Source organism: Homo sapiens, chromosome 12 (assembly GCF_000001405.40).
Source record: "Homo sapiens chromosome 12, GRCh38.p14 Primary Assembly".
Taxonomy (NCBI): domain Eukaryota; kingdom Metazoa; phylum Chordata; class Mammalia; order Primates; family Hominidae; genus Homo; species Homo sapiens.
The window spans coordinates 69,430,697-69,446,297 of NC_000012.12; positions in this window are offsets into that span (position 1 = coordinate 69,430,697).

Sequence of the window (15,601 nt, forward strand, 5' to 3'; positions counted from 1 at the left end):
CAAAATGCTAGTTATGCCGACTCCATAGGAATTTGCACAAATCAAATGAGAGTATAAATGAAAACACTTTGCATGCTGCTAAATGCTATAAAACAAGATCTGTCTAGACCTTTTTTGGGCTATCTATCCAGCTTGCAGTGACTCTTCTTTCTCTGAGTGTTGGCTTTCCAGCCACTGGGACGCCTCTACCTCTAGATAGATAGAAGATTTACTCTATCACTCCACCCACCTACCCACAATTAACTAGACCAGGATTAAACATCTGATCCTAGATGAGTCCATCAGATTCTCCCTCCTGAGAATTTAGAATTGGGGCCAAGACTATTCAATTTGGACTGATTGCTTGAACAGAAATGTAACCTTTGGAGCACTGAGTTGGTCATCTGCTGCTGGCCGAGGGCATGGTGCCACAGAGAAAGCCAGCTGCAGAGAGAATGAAGCCGACAGGCACGGGGAGGCTCTGATAAGAAGAAGAGAGGGAACGGAGCCATCTGACAGCCGTGCACTTCCCGGGTCTTCCTTCTAAGGCCTGATGGCTTTACTGACCTGAGAGTCTGTAAACCACTCCTGTGTCCTATGAATAGAATCTCTTTCATTTTCATAATCTGGCTCATATGTTTTTCTGTAATTTTCAACGGAAGATTTCAACTAAGGCAGTGTAGTGGATTGAATAGTGCCCCTCCAGACTCATGTCTCCCAGAACCTCAGAGTGTGACTTTATTTGGAAATAGAGTCTGCAGATATAATTAGTTACGTTAAAATGAGGTAAGACTGGATTAGAGTGGGCTTGAATCCAATGACTGGTGTCCTTATAAGAAAAAAAGAAGACAGACAGAAATACACACAGAGAAGAAGCCCATATGAAGACACAGGATGGAGAAATTGGCTTTCTGCTGCCACAGGCCAGAGAATGCCTGGGGCCACCAGAAGTTTGAAGAAGCAAAGAAGGATTCTCCCCTACAGACTTCAGAAGGAGCACGGCCTGCTGATAACTGTAGACCTCCAGCCTCCAGAACTGTGAGAGGATATGTATCTGTTATTTTAAGCCACCCAGTTTGTGGTACTTAGTTACAGCAGCCCTAGGGAAGTAATAATAGAAGCACTAGAATAGGAGCGTTGACCTCAAAACTGCTCTTTTCAAACTACACTCTACAGTGAGGAGAACGCTTTGTTGTTCTTAAGTGCCTCCTAGGCCCACAGCCCGCTTCTGAGAAACAGGCTGCTAGTGGCTTATTCTCTGTTGTCATATTTCTTGCCGTATAAAACCAACCCTACTACCCTAGCCACGTTTGTTTGGAGCCAAAGTCCCCTGGGACTGAGCTAGTCAGAAGGAGGCCAAAAAGGACTTCGGGTGTCAAACTGCCCAATAGGGACACTCAACCAGGAAATAGGAATACTAGATAAACAAAGTGTAGTTATCCCAATCCATGCTGAGCCTTTATTCTTTTTCTCCATGAGCCTGTACACATCCCTGGGAAGCTCTGAGACCAAGACTGGCTGCCCAGCTAAGGAGGCGAAGGACATCCCATGCTGCCCCATGAACCCTGGCAATAAACACCCATTATTGGGATTATCTGGGTATATTATCCTGTTCCAACCTGCTTTAGTCAACACGGGCTACCATAACAAAATACCATAGATTGGGTGGCTTAAACAACAGAAATGTCTCACATTTCTGGAGGCTGGGAAGTCCCAGATCAGGTGCCAGTCAATTCCTGTTGAACAGTCTCTTCCCAGCTTGCAGAGGGCCACCTTCTCGTCGTGTCCTCACATGGCCTTTCCTCAGCACGGGGCGAGAGAGAGAGACATTGCTCTCTTCCGCTTCTTATAAGGTCGTCAATTTTCTTAGATTAGGATCTTACCCTTATGACTCTGTTTAACCTCATTTACCTCCCAAAAGCCTTATCTCCAAATACAATTATATTGGGGGTTAGGACTTCAACATATGAATTTGGGGTGGGGGTACAATTCCGTTTACAGCAAATCTTAAAGGATCTAACTAATGTAGGCTAGGCTAAAGGTCCTCGTGTATGTATGTAACTGCCACACAGGCTTAATATGTGTTTTTGAGGAGTGGGGAGGAAGCCCAGAAAACATTCCCTAAACTTTGCTCCTGCTTCCTCCTCCCCTACACCCTGGTGGTACCAGAGGAAACCCCAAGTCCTCTGAGAATGTTTGCTGGGGAGCTTGTTTCATGGGATTGGCCCTGTCCTGAAGAAGGCAAAATGTATTCTGGGTGTATGTGCACAGGGTCAAATTTATTTTTTCCCTTTAACATCTTGTTAGAATATTTTCACCAAACAGCTGACTCATTCATAATTCTAAAGCAGGAGTCACACTGAAAGACAATCTCAGATAATTTTTGTCACCTCACAAAGACACAAAGTGCTTCTAATTATGTAAACAAGGATGTGTGTGTGTGTGTGTGTGTGTGTGTGTGTGTGTGTGTGTGTGTTCACACTTCTTATATGCCAGGTGTTGTGCTAAGTGATTTTTATATATACAATATACATACACTTTATCCTTACAACAGCCTCATGAGGCAGTGGTGTTATTCTCCTTTAACAGCCCAGACAATTAAGGCACAGTGAGGTTAAGTAATTTGTCCAAGATCATACAGTACTAATGCTAGGACTTGACATAATATGGCTTCTGAGTCTGTGCCTTTACTTACTACCCTGTATTGCTAAGTTAATAAACCATTAGTCCCAGCTATAAGAAACTGTTAGTGTAGTGGTTGGGGCAAAGGACGAGTAAGGGGTATATAGATGGAAAGATCAAAATGTAAACAACTACAGTGCAAAATGTAAAAAGTTCTATAATAGAGAATGTGCAAAAAGATATGGAATCAGAAAATTATCATGAGAAAGACATTCTTTTGCATGAACCATTTCTGAGCCTATTAGTCTCCATAGACTTTGATGGTCATAGAGTAACTGACAGTCCCAGAAGTAAACATAAATTACCTTGGAATAAATCAATATAAATTCATGGCACCATGTGTTAACTTTAACCGACTCGGGACAGTGGGCAAGCTATTTGGTGTATGTGGAAAGAGATGCAAAATCTTACTTGTCACATTCTGCCTGTCCTGAGCGAAGAGCTTGTTGCTCTGAAGTTGTGTCCCCAGGGCAGAAAGGGAAGAGGATTGTGTTCCTTCCCATTGCTCTTGCTAATCAAGGGGCCCTGTGTGCTCCAACAAGAGGTTCTTCTTAGTTGGATGAATGGATGTGTAGAGAGGCAAGAGGCCAGGACTTATGGGCTTAAGAATGTGTAAGATTTATTGGAGCTGCTGGTTAGAACACTGCTGTTTTCCTGAAATGGACCAAAATGCTCTCACACCAACCTTTCACCAATAAAATAAATAGCCTCAGGTGTCCATCGACCTAAGGGGACCTGCTAGTAGTTGATATAATTGCCAAACCACTCACTGGGAACTTGACAGATGAGTCCTTTGGCTTTCAAACCAGGGTGAGACTTTGCACCGAAAAAGGAGACTAATGCTTTTTACAGAGAAATAGAAATTCCTATTTTCTTAATCTTTCAGATATTCAACAAATATTTATTGAGTGCCTACTACGTAACAGACACTGTTCCTGGAGATTGCAATATATCAATGAACAAAAGAAAGATTTATACCCTCATCGACCTTATACTCTAGTGTAAGGAGATAGGTGATTAACGGTAGACCTACTAACTAGGTCAATAATGTATATGCTAGGAGGCTATAAAGTGTTATGGAAAAAGGAAAAAGTAGAGCAGAATAAGGTGAATTGAAAGCATGAGGAACTCATTGCAGAATTATCAGGGTAGGACTCATTGAGAAGATGATTTTTGAACAAAGACTTGAAGGTGTTGAGAGGATTAGCCAGGTGTTCATATGGGGAAAGAGTATATCAGACAAAGGAAACAGCAAGACAGGACTATGCCTGGTATGTTAAGGCTTCTATGGTGGCTAGAGCAGAGGGAGGGAGGGGAGACCAGGAAGATGGAAGAAATAAGAAGGACCTGATCCTTCGTGGGCTTGCAGGCCATTGTAGGGACTTCTACTTTTACACTGTAGGACCTTTACTCTTAATGAGATGGGACTGTATTGAGTTTTGAGCAGAGGAGTGGCATGTTTTGTCTTATGTTATAACCAGATCGCTCTGACTCCTGTGTTGTGAGTTGACTTTATGTTAGCAAGAGTGGAAATAGGAAAACCGGATAGGATGCAATTGCAGTGACGAGAGATGATGCTGGCTTGGACCAGGTTACAAATAGCAGAAGTGGTGAGAAGTAGTTAGATTTTGAGAGTAGAAGTAGGTGGAGTTGCTATGGATTGGATGTAGTGTGTGAGAAAAACAATTTAAAAAGATGATTCAGATGACTATGAACACCATGATGGAGAAGGCTACAGGTGAGGCAGGTTGTTGGATCTACAAGTCTGGAAGTCAGGGAGGAAGTCTGGATGGAAATATAAATGTGAGAGTTGTTGGTATACAGACGGTATTTAAAGCTAAAGGCTGGATGAGATTGCCAGGAAAGTGAGTGTGGATAGAGAAGGACGCAGACCAAGGACTGAGCCTCTGAGCTTTCCAACATTAAGGGACTGGGAGAAGAGGAATCAGCAGAGGAGACTAAGATGGAGTGATCAGTGAGGTAGGAAGAAAACCTAAATGCTAAATTCTGGAAACCAAGTGAAGAAAGTATGCCAAGGAGGAGGTAGAAATCAATTGTGTCAAATGCCACTGAGAAGTAAAAAAAAGTTGAGGACTGAGGATTGACCACTGGATTTAGCAACGTGGAGATCATTGGTGATTTTGCCAACAAAAGTTTTGTTGGATTGGTGGGAGAAAATCCAGATTGAAATAGATTGACAAGTGAATGGGTGCATTTTATTATATGTATATCATACCTCAACTAAGTTGATTTAAAAACACAAAAAGATGGGAGAGTTGATAGGATAACCCAAACCTGGAAATAACACAAATGTCCATCAACATTGGAATGGATTTTAGAAGTCATGGCATATTCATTCCATGGAATATTACAGACTAAGCAGGAGTCAGCAAACTACAGCCTGAGAATCCAATCCAACACTGGAACTGTTTTCATAAAGCGTGACTGGCACTCAGCCATGACCATTTGTTGAAGTATTGTCTTTGGGTGCTTTTGTGGGCTACAGAAGCAGAGTTGAGTAGTTGTGATAGACTTTATGGCCTACAAAGCCTAAAGTATTTATTTTCTGGTCTTTACAGAAAAAGTTTGCCAATTCTGGTCCAGAGCAATCAAAATGAGTGAATCATTGCTATTTATAGCAACATGGATTAATTTCCCAAATATAATGTTGAGGGGAGAAAGCCAGATACAAGAGTACACACTGTATGATTTCATGTGTATGAAGTTCAAAAACAGGAAAACTCATCTATAACAAGAAAACTATTCTAGCACTCTAGGTGCTAGAAGTTAAAATAGTGGTTACTTTGGGATGAGTGACTGGGAGGGGTTAGGAGGTGAGCTTCTGGGGTGCTGATAAGATTCTATTTCTTGATATGGGTGCTGGTTGCCAGGAGTGTTCAGTCTGTGAAGATTAACTGAGCGCTTAGGACTATGTGCACATTTCTAAATGTCTAAAATAAAGTTTACTAAAAATTAAAAATAGTAAGAGAAGAACTGGGTTATAGCAATTCTTTCATGAAGTTTTGCTGTAGAGCAGAGGAAAAAAAATGAAGAGTAGTTCACAGGGGAGGCAGGGTTTTTTTTAAAGCTATAAACTTTTTTTTGTTTTTGTTTTTGTTTTTGTTTTTTGTTTTTTGTTTTGTTGTTGTTGTTGTTTTTGAGACGGAGTCTCACTCTGTCCCCCAGGCTGGAGTGCAGTGGTACGATCTCGGCTCACTGCAAGCTCCGCCTCCCAGGTTCACGCCATTCGCCTGCCTCAGCCTCCTGAGTAGCTGGGACTACAGGCGCCCGCCACCACGCCCGGCTCATTTTTTGTATTTTTGGTAGAGATGGGGTTTCACCTGTGTTAGCCAGGATGGTCTCGATCTCCTGACCTCGTGATCCTCCCGCCTCGGCCTGCCAAAGTGCTCGGATTACAAGCGTGAGCCACCGCGCCCCACCAAAAGGTTTTTTTTAAGCTGGGAAAAATAATAGCATGTTTATATGTGGATGGGAGGAGGAAATCAAAGGTTTAGAAAAGGAAGGGGAGAGTGCTGGAGTGATGGCCTAGAGCAGGTGAGAGGGGATGCATTCTGGTGCACAGGGGGAGGGACTGACTTTGGACAGGAGTGCAGGGAGTTCATCTATGCTACCAGCACATTTTGATTAAGTGAAGACACCTACAATCTGGTGCCTACCTTTAAGAATGGTAAAAAATAATTCTGGGAAGATCATAACCCCTTTATGATCTTCCCAAAGCATTTCCCTATTTGCCACTTCATGAAAAATAATTTCACTAATAGTGAACACTTTACAAGTGCATTCACAGAGATCTCATTCAATACTTGTCTTCTAATGAATGCAACATATTTTCTGTCTCTTTAGTGAGATGACACAGAGCAGCTCAGAGTACGTAAAGCGATAGTCTACAGTCTCTGTAATCAAGCCAGGGCTGTGACCAAGGTCTCTGTGTTAGTTTGCCAGGACTGACATAATAAAGTGGCTTAAACAACAGAAATATGTTGTCTTACAGTTCTGGAAGGTAGTCTTGAGATCAAGGTGCTGCCAGAATTTGTGCTTTCTGGGGGCTGTGAGGGAGAATCTCTTCTGTGCTTCTCTCCTGGTATCTGCTGGTTTGCTGGCAGTATTCTGTGTTCTTTGCTTCGTAGATGCATCGCCCTGATCTCTCTTTTCATACTCACATGGTGTTCTCCCTGTGCCCAGGTCTGTTTGTGTCCAAATTTCCCCTCTTTATAAAGACACTTGTTTTATTGAATTAAGGGCCTGTCCTATTCTAGTATGACCTCATCTTAACTAATCACATCTGCAAACTCATCACATCTGTTTCCAAATAAAGACACACTCTGAGGGACTGGGAGTTAAGGCTTCAACATGTTAATTGGGGCGGTGGTGGGGGGGAACACAATCCAACCCATAAAAGTCTCCTAATGCCACATTTAGTGTCAGGCTTAATGACAGTAGATCAGGCAACTGCAGACTAAGTAGAATTTGAGGATCAGTGTGATTGAAAAGGTCTTTCTTGTGCATCACTCAGCCTGGCAGTCCTATCATTTGAATGTGTTTTCTTTGATGTAACTCTAATGTGACTCTTTTGATCTGTTTAAAGAAGCAGAATCTTGAAAGCCAGGTACAGTTGCATGTGCCTGTAGTCCCTGTTACACACAGGTACAGGAGGCTGAGGCAGGAGGATTGTTTAAACTCAAGAGTTCAAAGCCAGCCTGGGCAACACAGCAAGCCCTTGTCTCTAAAAAAATTTTTTTAATAAATAATAAATACATTTCCAAAAAGAAAGCAGAACTTGAAGAATAAGAGGGAACACAGGAAAGGCGAAGACTAAAGAGATTTGTGGGGCAAAGTGTTCCTCTCAGGAAGGCTTTCACCTCGTTTGGCCCACAATCGCATGCATTGATTCATGTTTGTCTTTTATAACGTAAAAGCAGCATCCCTAGGCTTTATCCCTGAGATTCTGATTCTGCAGCCCTGGGGCCCAGGAACCTGCATTTTAGCATGCTTTCAGGTGATTCGGGTGTCACACTTTGAGAAAGATTTCTCTAGGGAGCCAGTGGTTCATGGTGTGGGGAAATTGAAGCAATAAGACCCTGGGTTAAGGCAAGACTGGGCCTTGCCATCCAGACAGAAGGGACAGAACCATAAGGTTAGAGCTGCAAAGGCCCACAATGACTGTCAAGGTCACCTCCTCACTTTCCAGATGAGAAAACAGAGTCCAGAGATGGTGAAGCTAGAGCGTTGTGAACGCTGAAGAGCAGAAGGAGAAAAACAGGATTTAAATATAACAAGAAGATTGCAATGGATCAAATGAAAAGAGAGAAGAGATATGTGAAAAGCTATCTCTTAAGCCAGTGTCTAGACCAGATAATGTCTCTGCTCTCCTTATCAGGTCACAGACATTGCCGTGCTTCAAGGGTGGACCACTTCCATGCTTATGAGGCAAGCCCAAGTTCCTGAAGCAAGTACTTGCTCACAAAGAAGCTGGTTATTTGCTGGGTTTAACTGCTTCTCAGGGCACTGCACTATCCTTAGCATGCCAAGATTAAATAAGAATCTCAAGAAAACATTTTTGGCATGCAAAGATAAAATAAGAAACCAAGAGAAACACTTTGCATGATGATCTTCAATTAACTATGATTCTTCATAGACTTCCTGACAACAGTCTTAGTATAAGCATCTGTAGCTGCGCCGTTCTTTGCTTTGGTGTCACCTTTCTGACCCCATTTAGTGTGCACAATAACCCTGTAACAGGTATTACCCTCAATGGGCAGATATTTTAAAGGTGAAAATCTGATCATGCCTTTTCCCAGCTTACAATCATTCAGTGATTCCTTACTGTTCATCCATTGGCTTGGGAAATATGTTCCAAGTTAACAATCTAAAAAGGAAAAAAAGGCAATTTGTATAACAATGTACGTAGTACCTTTATTCACAGTATTATAAATTTTGGGCCGGGCACGGTGGCTCACGCCTGTAATCCCAGCTGTTTGAGAGGCTGAGGCAAGTGGATCCCTTGAAGTCAGGAGTTCGAGATCAGCCCGGCCAACATGGTGAAACCCCATCTCTACTAAAAATACAAAAATTAACCAGGTGTGGTGGCATGTGCCTGTAGTCCCAGCTACATGGGAGGCTGAGGCAGGAGAATTGCTTGAATCCAGGAGGCAGAGGTTGCAGAGAGCCGAGATCACACCACTGCACTCCAGCCTGGGCGACAGAGTGAGACTCTGTCTCAATAAAATAAATTTTTAAAAAACTGGAAACAACCCAAAACCCAATAATAGAGGGGAAGACTAAGCGAATCCCACTCTATGAATACACTGGAATACTCTGTACCTACTTTAAATAATAAGAATCCGGTCTACACTGCGGCATGAGTGTGTGTCTAAATGTATGTCTAATAGTGGTTTAATTGTGAAATCAACCTAACCAACTGGCTAATGAACAACCTGATTTCAACTGTGTCAAAATGGACACACTGACAAAGACTAGATGATACCAACAAGGGGCAAAGTATTTGATATTGTATGTGAATCAGATCTTCTGTTTAAGTGTGACAAAAGATTTAAATGGAGAAGATAATGGCTTTGGAATTTTCTTCTGGGGGCACTCACATAGGATTTTATACTGAGATTAAAACCGTAAGACCTTGGTACAATGAGAGTGGGCTGGGGACATGGTGGCAGTTTTATGTGGAGATGTCAGTGTTTAGATCAAGTCCGAATGGGGGCATGGCGGGCAGACTATAGCTGACTTCGTGGACCCATTGCTCACATGCACACTTGGCCTGCAGGCACCTCAGCTACTGCTACCACAGCAGTTCAAGGCTAGTAAGAAGTCACAGAGGAGGAAAAGAACTGCCCTATTAACTGCAAGGGAAAAACTGGTCAGACTTGATCAAGCAGAACATGAGTGGTGATGTCAAGCTGACCTTATGTATGGTTTCAAAGAGGCTCCAGGAACAGTTCACCCAGTTCTCCTCTCTTTATTGGTATTTTTTGTGGTTCAAGTCATAAAAGCATGGTGCTGAAGGCTCACTATTAATGCACACAAATGCCTGAAGTACCTGAACTGCATGCAATATCTATTCAAGTGTGTTTATTAGGTCTCTTCCAGTTCCCTTTCAAGACTTTTTTCCCCCACCACATACACCTAAGTCTAAGAGTATTAGCCTCTTGTCCCTTTCCGTGAACAATGTTATCGTGAATCCAGTCCTCTTTAGGTTTACTGTTTCACTGTGTGCAGTGGAGGAATAAGTTGAATGGTTAGGAAAGATGTTGCCCTTCTAGATTCTGTGGGTTTTCTGCCTTTGTAATCTGGTATCTCAACTTGGTTTATGCTGGCTTGATTTAAAAAAAAAACACAAAAAAACCTGGCTCATGTATCCCAAACTCATATGAGCCTGATCTGTATGTAAACTGAGAAAATCAGTTTAATCATTTATAATGAGAAATGTAGCAGCCAAGAGCCAAGATATTTATGTTGGCCAGTTTGTGAGTTCCCTTCCCATGAAGAAAGCCCAACGATGAGAAGGTTGTTGCTGTGTGAGCTTATGTTATTCACATAAGGAAGGGGTCTAAGAGATATTTATTTACAAATTGATCAGCCTAAAATTCCCTGACTCCCTTTTCAATGTCTACTCCTCTAAAGGCCCGGCTTCCAGCCACCTAGTCTGCAAAACTTGTCTTACCCCTGAGCTCTTGGGAAAAATTAATCATTAATCCTGCCAGGCTACCATAACTTTTGTACCTCTATTATAGCACCTATCACATTGTGTTCCAGTAGTTATTGATGTACCTGTCACCTGTCTCCCCTGCTATATCAGTAATTAGGGCAGAGACTCTCATCCACTTTTGTTTCTCTAATATCTAGTACATAATAGGTGCTTGGGACAGGGTTGCTAAATGAATGACTGAATGAATGAATGACTGAATGAATAAATGAATGAAATTATATCTCCATCTACCCTAAGGGCCTTTTTTTTTTTCCTTTTCTTTCTTTCTTTCTTTTTTTTTTTTTTTTCTGAGGCAAGGTCCCATTCCCGTCACCCAGGCTGGAGTGCAATGGCACAATCACAGCTCACTGCAGCTTCAACCTCCCAATGTAGCCTCAACCTCTCAAGTCTCAGGTGATCCTCCCACCTCAGCCTCATGAGTAGCTGCGACTACAGGCATGTGACACCATGCCCAGCTGATTTTTGTATTTTTAGTAGAGACATGGATTTGCCTTGCTGCCCAGGCTAGTATCGAACTCGTGGGCTCAAGCGATCCATGCACCTCAGCCTCCCAAAGGGCTGGGATTACAGGCATGAGCCACCGTGCCCGGCCCCTAAAGGCCTTTTATAAATCAGGTTTCATTAAATGGATGTAGATAGGTATTAAGAGTAATTGGTGGGGGGATGGGATGGGGCAGGAGGGAAAGAGAGAAAGAGAATCCTGTCCCCTAACCGTGACAGACCTGCCTTAGCATTATACTATGGGGAACCCATAAAAGCCAGTTGTAGGCAATACCCAATGCTTCACGTTTTCACCCAGAATTATCTGCTTGTCTGCTTCATCTCTATTATTCCCTAGCCTTATCTTAGGCCCTGGCTTACATATGCCTTGAACTGCCTCCTTATTTTAGTGAACAATTTGATCTCCTCTTCAAACATATTGATTTGGGTTCTCCCAACTCACCTTTTCCCCATCCTCTCTACTGTCTTCTGCTCATCCTCAGGGTGCTTTAGAGCCCTAGTTTGTAAAGCACCAACAGCATCAGCCTCTTCCATGAACTTTTTAGAAATGTACAACCGGCCAGGTGCAGTGGCTCATGCCTGTAATCCCAGCACTTTGGGAGGCCAAGGCAGTGGATCACTTGAGGCCAGGAGTTTGAGACCAGCCTGGCCAACATGGTGAAACCCCGTCTCTACTAAAAAAATACAAAAATTAGTCGAGTGTGGCGGCACGTGCCTGTAGTTCCAGCTACTCGGAGGCTGAGGCAGGAGAAGAATTGCTTGAATCCGGGAGGCAGAGTTTGCAGTAAGTTGAGATGACCACTGCACTCCAGCCTGAGTGACAGAGCGAGACTCTGTCTCAAAATAAATAAATACATATATGAAAAGGCCGGGCACGGTGGCTCATACCTGTAATCGCAGCACTTTGGGAGGCTGAGGTGGGTGGATCACTTGAAGTCAGGAGTTCAAAGCCAGCCTGGCCAACATAGTGAAACTCCATCTCTGCTAACAATACAAAAAAAAAAATTAGCTGGGCGTGGTGGCACACACCTGTAGTCCCAGCTACTTGGGAGGCTGAGGCAGGAGAATTACTTGAACCTGGGAGGCGGAGGTTGTGGTGAGCCGAGATCACGCCACTGCACTCCAGCCTGGGCAACACAGCGAGACTCTGTCTCAAAAAAAAAAAAAAAGAAAAGAAAGAAAGAAAAAAGAAATGTACAATGAACTAAGGGTAGGTCCCAAAACTACTGAGTCAGAATCTGCATTTTCACAAGACCCCTAAGCGTTCTGTCTGCACAGTAAAGTGGAAGGAGCTCTGCTTTATGTTTAATGATGACCACTGCTCCTGGTTCATGATTTTCTTCTCAACCTTGTCTCCTGTTGTTCTCAAGACGTCAACATCCATTGTATTAGTTATCTATGACTACATATCAAGTCACTCCACCTTAGCAGCTTAAAACAACAAACATATATTGTCTCACAGTTTCTGTGAGTCAGGAATCTGGGCAACACTTATCTGGGTCCTCTGGCTCGGGGTCTCTCACAAGACTGCAGTTGAGTGTTGACTGAGGCAGCCGTCATCTAAGGCTCTGCTGGGGAGGATCTGCTTCCAAGCTCACTCATGTGGCTGTTGGCAGACTCAAGTCCTCATGGGTTGTTGGACTGAGGACTCATTTCCACCCTGGCTGTTGGCCAGAGACCTCCCTCAGTTCCTTGCCTGGTTGGTCTCTCCACTGGGCAGCTCACGACATGGCAGCTGGCATCATTCAAGCAAACAAAAGCAACAGCAAAATAAAGCAAACAAGGTGAAAGCCAGAGTATTTTTGTAACCTAATCTCAGAAGCAAGAGCCCACCATTTTTGCCACATTTTATTTGTTAGAAGTGAGTTGGCTGGGCACGGTGGCTCACGCCTTAATCTCAACACTTTGGGAGGCTGAGGCAGGCAAATCACAAGGTCAGGAGTTTGAGAGCAGCCTAGCCAACATGGTGAAACCCCATCTCAACTAAAGATACAAAAAATTAGCCAGGCCTGGTGGTGGGCACCTGTAATCCCAGCTACTCGGGAGGCTGAGATAGGAGAATCATTTGAACTCAGGAGGCAGAAGTTGCAGTGAGCTGCACACCACTGCACTCCAGCCTGGGCGACAGTGTGAGACTCCATCTCAAAAAAAAAAAAAAAAAAAAAAAGAAGTGTCACTAGACCTATACTCAATGGGGTAGGGGATTATACAAGGGTGAGACTAACAGGAAGTGGGGGTCACTAGGGGCTCTCTTAGAGGTTGCCTACCAAATCCATGTTCATTTTCATGCAGGAACTTGGCTGACTAGTTTCTACTTCAGTTACACACTTGCATGGCCATACCTGGGACCTCAACACCACTTGGAATTTTATATTCTCGAAACTATCACCCTCTGTGCTTGTTATATTGACCACAACTTATCACTCTCTCTACTTGTCCCACCTCTTCACTCCTATTGGACCATCCTTCAGAGCAAACATGACTACGTACCCTTTTCAGCCTTTCTTGTTATAGCTTGTTAATGCCATTCCTGTCTTACTCAAAGCTCCGCATAGAGAGCTTCCTGTGGCTGGCTAGTTATATATGGGTATACTAAAGAACTAGAGGCGTGCACACTCCACACTCACCTGTTTGATTTGTGGGGTTGTCACTTTCCCTTCCTTCACGTTAGGGAAAATCCAGCATTCTTGGGCTTTTTTCCTACTCCCAGGTTGATGGGCATGCCTGAAGAAAATCATGCCATCATGTAGGTGCGGTTCACTATCCATGTACACCACTTTCACCGCGGCACCACCTCTCCAGGAATGCATCCCTACAGAATTTATCCAGCGGCATTTCCAGAGCTTTCTCACTTGCCTCAAGTCCCCAAACCCACCTTTACTATTCTGGGTCCAGTCTTAGGTTTCCTCTTGTGGAAGGCCATTCCCAGCTTTGCTAGCTCCACTTTAAGAATGTCCTCATCTCTTCACTCATTATGGTTTGTCCCTCTGGTCTCAGAGGAAGAGGTGCTGATCATCCTCTCTGGATCTGAATGCTCCACGTGTCCTTATGTCCTATCTTATCCCACTTCCTCTTTGACTTTGTTCCATCAGTTCCTCTCCTTCTCTCCCTGCTGCGTCTTTCCTTCAACTTGCAAATATGCCCACAGTAAAAACAATCTCCACTGGTAACTTTTTTTTTTTTTTTTTTTTTTTTAGAGACAGAGTCTTGCTCTGTCACCCAGGCTGGAGTGCAGTGGCGCGATCTCGGCTCACTGTAAGCTCCGCCTCCCGGGTTCACGCCTTCTCCTGCCTCAGCCTCCCAGGTAGCTGGGACTACAGGCGCCCGCCACCTCGCCCGGCTAATTTTTTGTATTTTTAGTAGAGACGGGGTTCCACCGTGTTAGCCAGGATGGTCTCGATCTCCTGACCTCGTGATCCGCCTGCCTCGGCCTCCCAAAGTGCTGGGATTACAGGCGTGAGCCACCGCGCCCGGCCCACAGTTCCTTTTTACAAAAATAATTATGATAATAATTACCTTGTTTTTCTCTTTGTTTTGTTTTCTATGTACTTGTCTCAGTTGATCATTTCCTCTCCCAGAGTCGTAAAATTTCTCTGTATATTCTATGGTTAATACATCAGCTAATCTGTCGGTCTCACAGTTCGGGTTTTTTCCCCCCATCTTTTAAAAACAGGCTTTTTGAGGCCTCCATTGTCCTATTCCTATTTGTGACTGGCTGCTCTTTAGGCCTGCTGCACTGCAGGCTACCTGGGACTTCCGGTCATTCCCTTCTCCTCTCTCCTGCATAAGATTCTTTTGCTTGGATTCCATGTATGCCCCTTTCTTGGTTTCTTCCATTGTTTTGATGGAACACTTTCTCCAACAGCAACCTTAGAAGGGGTGCTTAGAAGGGACGCGGTGGCTCACACCTGTAATCCCAGCACTTTGGGAGGCCGAAGCGGGCAGATCATTTGAGGTCAAGTGTTTGAGACTAGCCTGGCCAACATGATGAAACCCTGTCTCTACTAAAAATACAAAAAATTAGCCAGGCGTGGTGGCGGGAGCCTGTAATCCCAACTACTTAGAGGCTGAGACAGGAGAATTGCTTGAACCCAGGAGGGGGAGGTTGCAGTGAGCAGAGACCGTGCCACTGCCCTCCAGCCTGTGTGACAGGGTAAGACTCTGTGTCAAAAAAAAAAAAGAAAAAAATGGGGGTGCCCGGAAGTAAATTTTTTGAGACCTTGAGAGACTGCATATGTGAAATGTCTTTAGTTTACCCTTACACGTGATTTGTGATTTGTATAGAATTCAACATTGGAAATCCATTTTGATGACAATTTTGAAGTCATTGTTTTATCGTTGTCTAGGATCTAGTATTGCCATGAGAAGTTTAATGCCATTCTGTTTCTCCTTCCTGCATGGTCTTTTTTGTTTCTCTATATTACCTTAGGATTTCTGGCAATTAATTCTTGTAAATTGTCTTTAATTATTTGACTATTGCTCTCAATTTTTCTCTATTAGTTTGAAATTTTGATCAGTTGGATGCTAAATTTCCTGTGTTGAGTTTCTAATCTTCTTATCCTTTCCTTCCTCTTTTCTACTGTCTTAGTAGACATATTTTCCAATCCTATTAAATTTTCTATCCGCTATTACATTCTTAATACTTACAAATTTTTCTAATTCTCTGAATGTTCCTTTTTAGGAGTATCTTATTATTGT